Raw genomic sequence first — 9,978 nt, forward strand, 5'->3', positions numbered from 1 at the left:
AGTTCTGCTCAAAACAGCCATCAAGTTATTATTTTACTTTATTTTTCTTATGCTCACATCCAATCGATCGGAGAATAATATTAGAATACATTCATAAGGTGATTGTGATCATTTTCATCACTTCTGCTGCTGTCACCGTGGACCCTGGCAATATCATCTCTCACCTGGATGGGTGTAACTGTAGCCCTACTGTTCTCCTTATTCCTACTGTTGTCTAACTATGATCTATTCTCAAAATAGCAGCCAGAGTGATCCTGTGAAAATTTCAGCTCATGTTACTTCTTAGATCAAAACTCTGCAGTGACTTCTCAGTTTTCTAAAAGTAAAAGCTAACATCCTTACAATGACTGATGAAGCCTTAAATGGTCAGCAGTGTGTCCCCTGCCATCTCCCTGACCTTGTCTTTTACTTCTGTTCCCCTGCTTCAACATCTGCCCTTCGAGACAACTGCCTTGCTAATTTCCTCACCTCTTTCAGATCTTTATGCAGATGGCACTTCTCAATGAGCCCTAATCCAGTCACTGTATTTAAAATTCCAACATAGCTATCCCAATCCCTTACACCTGGTCCTCCTTATAATGCTCTCTTTCTTTTATATTTTTCAATGTATCATTTTCAATTACTCTCTATATTTTAATTATTGGTTATGTTTATTTTCTCTTTTTGCCACCCAGGATGGAGGTTGCAGTGAGCCAAGATCACTACCCAAGACGGTAAGCTTCATGCAGGTAGAAATTTTGTTTTCTTCCCTATGTTGTGTTTTCTTCACTAATGAAGCTCAATTCCTAGAACAGATATTAGCATAGAATAGGTACTTGATAAATATTTTTAAATAAATGAATTCATTAAAATTTTATCTGCAAACGAAACATTATGAGGCCGCTCTGGATGATGATTTGGAAGCCTGTAGTTATCACTGTGTTCTAGATACTTCCTGTGTTTCCAATATCCCCCAGATGACCACATGCTATGCCAGCATGTGACTCCTTGAATTAAAGAATCATGTCATTCTCAAGGCATTTTCCTATCACCTTCTCTTTCACACGCATTCACTAGATTAAAGGTCAGCAGTTCTTCATTCTTTTCTTGAAGGCCATGCTAGATTGCAGAGCAACTTGCTAAGCCACTAACAACTAAGGCTTATAAGGCATAACATACCACCTGTAATAGGTCGTGTTTAATTTTCACAGCTCCTTCATTGTCTAACTCAAAGGAACCTTTGTGAAGCAATTTTGGTCAGTAGCACAGGGACAGATGGGTCACATTTTGAAGACCTAAGGCTTTTTAGGCACGCCTCCAGTCATAACTTACTAGCAAGTTACACATAAGAAAAGGTATGGATAAGCAAGTAGCATGGATGATTAAAATTTTTCTTTTTTCATATTAGAGGAACATACTTAGTATTTTGGATTACTCTTTAGTGAACCATTTCACATAACCCAGTGGGCAATTTTATTTATTTATTTATTTATTTATTTATTTATTTATTTATTTATTTATTTTTTTGAGATGGAGTTTTGCTCTTTCGCCCAGACTGGAGTGCAATGGTGCGAGCTTGGCTCACTGCAAGCTCCGTCTCCTGGGTTCACGCCATTCTCTTGCCTCAGCCTTCCAAGTAGCTGGGACTACAGGCACCCACCACCACGCCCGGCTAATTTTTTTGTAATTTTTTAGTAGAGATGGGGTTTCACCATGTTAGCCAGGATGGTCTCGATCTCCTGACCTCGTGATCCGCCCGCCTCGGCCTCCCAAAGTGCTGGGATTACAGGCATGAGCCACCGCACTCGGCCACACAATGGGCATCTTAATATTAAATATATGAATGCCAGGGAAATGTATCCATGTATGTGAGACTTAAATATTTTATTCATATCTATGTACATATGCACAAATATATGCACATATATGTTATAAAAAATAAAAGGATATCTATTCTATTTATTTTAATTATCAAGTAATATAAATTTAATGAAAAGTTAGTTTGGCCAAATGGAAAGATGGAGGAAACTGAGATAAAATTAATTCCGTATTTCCCCTTCCAATTAAAAATAATATTTTAGGGCCGGGCGTGGTGGCTTACACCTGTAATCCCAGCACTTTGGGAGGCAAGGCGAGTGGATCATGAGGTACGGAGATAGAGACCATCCTGGCCAACATGGTGAAACCCCGTGTTTACTAAAAAAATACAAAAAATTAGTCGGGCGTGGTGGCACTACACACCTGTACTCCCACCTACTCAGGAGGCTGAGGCAGGGGAATCGCTTGAACCCGGGAGGCGGAGGTTGCAGTGAGCCAAGATCGCGCCACTGCACTCCAGTCTGGGCAACAAGAGCAAGACTCCATCTAAAAATATATATATATATATATATAATGTATATATGTGTATATATATATTTCTTTTAACTTAATAACCATGGTTTAAACTAGTATATTTTAAAATTTGGCAACTTGGAAAGCATTATGGTTGATCTTGAAATTATGAAGATTTGTAGAATGTCTTGAGCAGCAAATTAGATGCATGTAAAATGTCTGGAGTATCTTGTCCACTGTATTGGGATCTATGGTAAATAAAGAGATTACAAATTCAGTCCAATGTTTCCTCCAAAAAGAAAAGAGATTAGTTTACTCAGACTCTTTACTTTATCCCATATCTAAGTATTTATACAGATGTTAAACATTAGGTTTTTCATTATGTTGATTGATTCCAGTCATCTTAAGAATATTTCTCTCCTTAGATGTCAGCACAATGGGTTTTTTGAAAGCTGTTGTTTTGAGTGATGATCATTAAAGAAAGGAATATGACATTTCTAGGAGAATTTTAGCATTTATGTAAAATATAACAGTAGCTTATGGAGGTGGAGAGAAATGTATAATAACTTCAAGCATATGAAATCCTTAGAAGAAGTTCTTGAATATGTGATCATGGGAAAAAAACCTAGATAAAGACAGATCTTTTCAGGGTATTTTATATATTTAAGGAAAAAAAAAGACTTTTTTTTTTAATGCTGCTATAGTCCTCAGGATGCAGTGAAGGTCACTGCAGTAAAAAATGTCTCTGTTGATTTAGATAAATGTGGCCTCATTCCAATATATTCTGGTTTTTCTTTTATCCAATTGAAAACCTACTGGAGGTTTTTACTGTGGCTGTCAGACAGAGCACAAATATTTCATAAACCATACTGGGCTTATTAAGTTGGCAGCAATTTTAGCCTTCAGGGCAGTTTACTTCACGATTTTAAAATGCTTTTCCCCCTCCCTTCTTTATTATGGGACACAAAAGATGTTCCTGTTTTGAAAGCCTAATGTTAGTGATATTTCCTAATTCATACACTGGTTGGTACTAGTACACAAATTTGAGGTTTTAGACCATATTGCAGGAATGAAGGTGGATATGGGAGATGTGATATAGATAAATAGTTTATATTTAAAGGTCCCTCAAACAAATTGTTCCTTTAAAAATTGTTCCTTTAAAAATTTGGCGATTCTGATATTTAATTTATGCATATGTTGTCTGTCAAAATAAGATAAATAAGAAAAAATCAGGTATAAAAATAATGTAACAAAATTACTTTGGAACTTAAAAATCTTTTTTTTAGGGTTATTGTAAGCCTGACGCTGTTAGATAATCTTAAAATCTATTCAATCTTTAATATTTATAAGAACCCTATAATTGGGAGGTGAGTATTGTTACCATTTTACAAACCAGGAAAATTAGGTGACTTCCTTAGAGTTTCAACTCTAGTGAATATAGGAAGTGGGATTTAAACATAGATACAATGGTTATGGAGTCTACACCTTTAACCACTGTATCACTATTAATGTGGATAAAATGTAAATAAAGAAGTAAAATAAAATTAATAATAAATGGCAGAAAGTTGGAGGTAAAGGTCTTAAAGTAAAAAGATGCACTGATCATTAGAAACTAGATTAAAAATAAAATGTATAAAGTATTATAGAAATTGCAAAACAAGTTTGGAATAATAAAAAGTGACAGCTCATAAGCATTAAAATTTTATTTGAATAAGATCACTAAAAGGAAATAAACTCTGTTAAGAGAATAAAACTTGTTAAAAGAAAGAAAGCTTAGTGAAGGATCAACATGAAATATAAGTCTTAACACACTGATCCAATTCAGAAACAACAACAAAAAAATCACCTTATTAGTCAGGATTTCAACTCTCTGCCTGGTTCTTTCATTCACTCTGCATGCATGGATTCCTTAATTATATTTCCAACGATGTTTTTCACGCCATAGGCACTGGGGATTCAGGGATAAACAAAACAGACCACAGCTCCTACCCTCACTGAGCTTACGTTATCTTTGAAGGAGGCAGATAATAAACACATTTATAACTAAAACAAAGTGTTATTAGATGCATGCTGCAGGGAGAAATAAAGCAGCAGAGGAGGGGAGTGCTGGGACATTGCAGATTTAAGTGAGGTGATTAGGGTAGATCTCCCCAAGTAGTTAGTACTTGAAAGATCTGGAGAAGCCATTCGATTATCAGGGAGAAGGCTATTGCAATCAGAAAGAACTAGAGATGCAGTTTTCCTGAGCCTGGAGTGTGCCTAAAGTTCTTCAAAGAAACCAGAGACGGCCAGGTGCAGTGGCTCACGCCTGTAATCCTAGCACTTTGGCAGGCCGAGGCAGGCGGAACACGAGGTCAGGAGTTCGAGACCAGCCTGGCCAACACAGTGAAACCCTGTCTCTATTAAAAATACAAAAAGTAGCTGGGCGTGGTGGCGGGCGCCTGTAATCCAGCTACTCAGGAGGCTGAGGCAGGAAAACTACTTGAACCCGGGAGGCGGAAGTTGCAGTGAGCTGAGATGGCGCCACTGCTCTCCAGGCCGGGTGACAGAACTAGCAGAACTAGACTCCGTCTCAAAAAAATAAATAAATAAAAAATAAAAGAAAGCAGAGACACAGATGAAGCTGGAGGACAATATGGGAAGTAAAGTAAGTTAGGCACAAAGAGACAATGTGGAATCTAAAAGTCCAATACATTGAAGCAGAAAAGAATGGTGGTTACCAGAGGCTGAGGAGGTGAGAGCAGTTGAATGGGTAAAGGGAGAGACTTGGTCAATGGGTACAAAGTTACAATTACAAAGGTGTAATAAATCTGGTGTTCCATTGCACAGCAAAGTGACATAGTTAATAAGAATGTATTACATATTTTAAGATAGCTAAAAGAATTTTCAATGTTCTCACCCCAGAGAAATGGTATATATTTGAGGTGATGGATATGCAAATTAGCCTAATTTGATCATTGCACGATGTATACGTGAGTCAAAACATCATGTGTCCGGAATTGGTGGGTTCTTGGTCTCACTGACTCCAAGAATGAAGCCGCGGACTCTCGCGGTGAGTGTTACAGCTCTTAAGGTGGCACGTCTGGAGTTTGTTCCTTCTGAGGTTCGGATGTGTTCGGAGTTTCTTCCTTCTGGTGGGTTCGTGGTCTCGCTGGCTCAGGAGTGAAGCTGCGGACCTTCGCGGTGAGTGTTACAGCTCTTAAGGCGGCGCCTCGGGAGTTGTTCGTTCTTTCCAGTGGGCTTGTGGTCTCGCTGGCTTCAGGAGTGAAGCTGCAGACCTTCGCAATGAGTGTTACAGCTCATAAAAGCAGCGTGTACCCAAAGAATGAGGAGTAGCAAGATTTATTGCAAAGAGCGAAAGAACAAAGATCCCACACTGTGGAAGAGGACCCCAGCGGGTTGCCACTGCTGGCTCCGGCAGCCTGCTTTTATTCTCTATCTTGCCCCACCCACATCCTGCTGATTGGTAGAGCCCAGTGGTGTGTTTTGACAGGGCACTGATTGGTGCATTTACAATCCCTGAGCTAGACACAAAGGTTCTCCAAGTCCCCACTAGATTAACTAGATAGAGAGTGTCAACATAAATGTTCTCCAAGGCCCCACCAGAGCAGCTAGATACAGAGTGTCTTGGTGTATTCACAAACCCTGAGCTAGACACAGGGTGCTGATTGGTGTGTTTACAAACCTTGAGCTAGATACAGAGTGCCGATGGGTGTATTTACAATCCCTGAGCTAGACATAAAGGTTCTCCAAGTCTTCACCAGACTCAGGAGCCCAGCCGGCTTCACCCAGTGGATCCGGCAGTGGGGCTGCAGGTGGAGCTGCCTGCCAGTCCCCCGCCATGCACTCACACTCCTCAGCCCTTGGGTGATCGATGGGACTGGGTGCCGTGGAGCAGGGGGCGGCGCTTGTCGGGGAGGCTGGGGCTGCACAGAAGCCCATGGAGGCGGAGGAAGGCTCAGCCATGGCGGGCTGCAGTCCCGAGGCCTGCCCCGTGGGAAGGCAGCTAAGCAGTAAGAAATCGAGCTCGGCGCCGGCGGGCTGGCACTGCTGGGGGACCCAGTACACCCTCTGCAGCTGCTGGTCCGGGTGCTAAGCCCCTCATTGCCCGGGGCCGGCAGGGCCGGCCGGCTGCTCAGAGTGCGGGGCCCGCCAAGCTCACGCCCACCCGGAACTCCAGCTGGCTCGCAAGCGCCGCGCGCAGCCCCGGTTCCCGCTCGCGCCTCTCCCTCCACACCTCCCTGCAAGCTGAGGGAGTGGGCTCTGGCCTTGGCCAGCCCAGAAAGGGTCTCCCACAGTGCAGCGGTGGGCTGAAGGCCTCCTCAAGTGCCGCCAAAGTGGGAGCCCAGGCAGAGGAGGCGCCGAGAGCGAGCGAGGGCTGTGAGGACTGCCAGCACGCTGTCACCTCTCAATCACATGGCACCCCAGAAACACATACAATTATCATTTGTCAATTTAAAACAATGAATATATTAAATATATAAATAATTTACAGTAACTTGGAAAAAAAAAGCTCAGAGGCCAATACGTCTAAAGCAGCAGAGGCTGTGTGGCTGCTGTAATAAATGGCTGCAAATGGGGTGACTTAAAACAACATAAATGAATTTCTTACATTTCTGGAGGTTCCAATTCTGAAATCAAGGTGTTAGGTCAAACTCCCTCTAGAGCAAGGGGTTCCCCTTTCCCCGCACCAAGACTAGTATCAGTCCCTGGCCTGTGAGGAACCCAGCTTCACAGCAGGAGGTGAGTGGCGGGCTGACCGGCATTATTGCCTGAGCTAACCTGTGGGATCAGTGGCAGCAGCAGATTCCCATAGAAAGGCAAACCGTATTGTGAACTCCACATACAAGGGATCTAGGTTGTGTGCTCCTTATGAATATCTAACTAATACCTGCTGATCTGAGGTTCTGAGGTGGAACAATTTCATCCTGAAACCATCTCCCCCCAACCCCAGGGAAAAATTGTCTTCCACAAAACCAGCCCCTGGTAGCAAAAAGGTTGGGGACCTCTGCTCTGTAGACCACAGGAGAGATTCCATTCCTTGCCTCTTCTAGATTATGTTGTCTGTAGGTGTTCCTTGGTTTGCAGCTACATCACTCTGATCTCTGCCTGTCTTCACATCACCTTTTTCTCTGTATGTCTCTCTCAAAACTCCCTCTGCCTTTCTTTTATTAGGATACATAGGATTGCAGTTTTTACTCAGATAATCCAGGATCAGCAGATCCTCTTGTGACCTTTAAAACTCATGCGTTCCAGAGATTTGAGGTGGATATCTTTTGGGGAGCTATTTTCCAGTTTACCACAGAGGCCAATTTGGCTAAAGGCAGAGTGAATGAGGAAAGATCAGGGAAGGTTGGGAAGAGGGGCCAGGGTTGTAGACAAGATTACATGGGCTTTTACTCTGGGTAAGTTGGAGCCACTGGATGACTTTGAGAAGAGGACTGACATCATTTGACCTTTTAAAGGAACACTCTTGGGGCTGTGGAGAGAAAAGGTCAAGAACGAGCGTAGAAGCTGGTTACCCAGTTTGGAGTTCTATTGTATTAATCTGTGCTGCATTCTAGGTGGCTGGGAAGTGGTAGAAATAGTGAGAATAGTTGCATTCCAGATATTAATTAAAGGAAGTGCTGATTTCTCAAGGACTCTGGCTGTACTTTTAAGCCGGGGAACCATTTTGCTGGAGATCTTTAAAAGTGTTGGTTCCTTGGAAAATATCCTCAACATTGGAGAGTAGCAAGATTAGGGAGTCTGTGGTCTTTTCCCAGTGGCGACAGTAACCCAAGCTCATATTTACTAATACATATGAAGACTCTTGACTCAAACTTGGTAGCTGACTTCCCACTGGAGAATCCACTAGGAAGTACGAAATCTCCCATGTCTATAGATTAAGGTAGTAAATGGGCATTCAGCATTGAGTGAACCAAACAAATTCAGAATTCCAAACCATTTGTGGAAAAAAAAATAACTAAAAACCCAATGATCTTAAGGAATAGGGCTGGATAGGACATTAGCAATAAGAACAGAGCATCCTAAGAGTCTTGCTTTAGCTTAGAACACTGCCAGAGCAAAGAAAATAAATGCTGCAGAGCAAAACTGCAAACTGCAAACTGGTGGTATGCTAGTGGAATGGATTTGTTCCCACAGATTTGTTATGTTTATACAGCAAAATGTTTGAATTTGAATTTGTTGTCAACATTTAGAAATTGGGCATTTTCATATAAAAATCAAAGTTCTCATGTAAAAATCTGTATTTCCAGTTTGAGAAATGAAAATATCGAGCAATAGTTGCCCACTCTCTTATATAAACCTAATATATTGGGGCCCTGTAAAAGTGCCCCCCATGTAGAAACCTCCAAGTTCTCTTTCTTTCCTCCTTATTTTCCTTAATGAATTTATCTTGAGCTTCCTGCACTCCTGTTCCAATCTGGCTGCTTACTAAGACCCACTGCACAACTGGCATCTGGGGCTGTTCCTTCTTCATCCTGAGAATTCTACTCACCTCTCACTCTTATTATGTGCCTCATTTCTAGGATCCCAAAACATATTTCCCAGCTTATTTTCTCATTTGGTGGAGCATATTTACAGTATTTGGAGAACCAACTACAAAGTTTGGAAAGAGTACATTCCACACAAAACCACCCTCACTTTTGACACCAATTGTAAGTTTGGAAAGTTTCCAAAACAGTTTTTATAATTTGCTAGAAGGACTTGCAAAACTTACTGAAAGCCATTTTACTCATGTCTATCATTTATTACAGGGAAGGAATACAAATCAATATCAGCCAAAGCAAAAAGCACATAGGGCAGAGTTTGGGGAAATACCAAATGCAGAACTTTCTTGTCTAATCCTTGTGGAGTCAGGATGCATTACTTTCCACACTGATCTATGACAACATGCACGGAGAATTGCCAGCAAGAGATGCTCACCAGAGCCTTGTTGTTGAGCTTCTTTTTTGGTTTCATTACATAGGTATGATTGATGAATTAATTGCACACATAGTTGATTTCAGTCTCTAGATTGACTACTATCTTATGGCCCAAAACCCTCAACATAAATTATCTTGCTTTCCTTGGATGGCCAGCCACACCTTAAATCACACTGTTAGACTGTGCTGCATGTTCCAAGGCCCGTAGACAGACAAAGACATTTCTATCAGGCATAAAATCCCAAGATTTAAGACATTACTTTCCAAAAGCTTAGGGCAAAAACCAGAAAAATCTCTTGGGGAAAGGCTTGATTCTTTACTACATACTATTCTACAGTAACTGCTTAAGAATGGTACTTGGGAGTAAAGAAAATATAGAAAATCATTAAAATGTGTAATGATTGCTTATTTGGCAAGATAAAGAATTCCACTCTCTCCCTCCACCCAGTCCAAACCAACATACATTTTTCGCTCAGAAGATACTACTTTAGCTTTTAATGATGTTTTAAGAATTCTGATAATGTTCTGAGTCTTGATCAATTATAAATGACTTGCTTTTGCACTCAGATGCTTTTAAAATTTTCTCTACATCCCAGTATTTTGAAATTTAATGATTATGAGCCTTCAGGTCTTTTTAATCCATTCATTTTATTAGGATTTAGTTGGAATAAAAAAAAACTTAGAGCTTTGTGTTCTTAAGTTCTGAAATACTTACTTGTATTACTTCCTTTATTACTGTGTC

This window comes from Homo sapiens, chromosome 4 (assembly GCF_000001405.40).
Source record: "Homo sapiens chromosome 4, GRCh38.p14 Primary Assembly".
Classification (NCBI taxonomy): domain Eukaryota; kingdom Metazoa; phylum Chordata; class Mammalia; order Primates; family Hominidae; genus Homo; species Homo sapiens.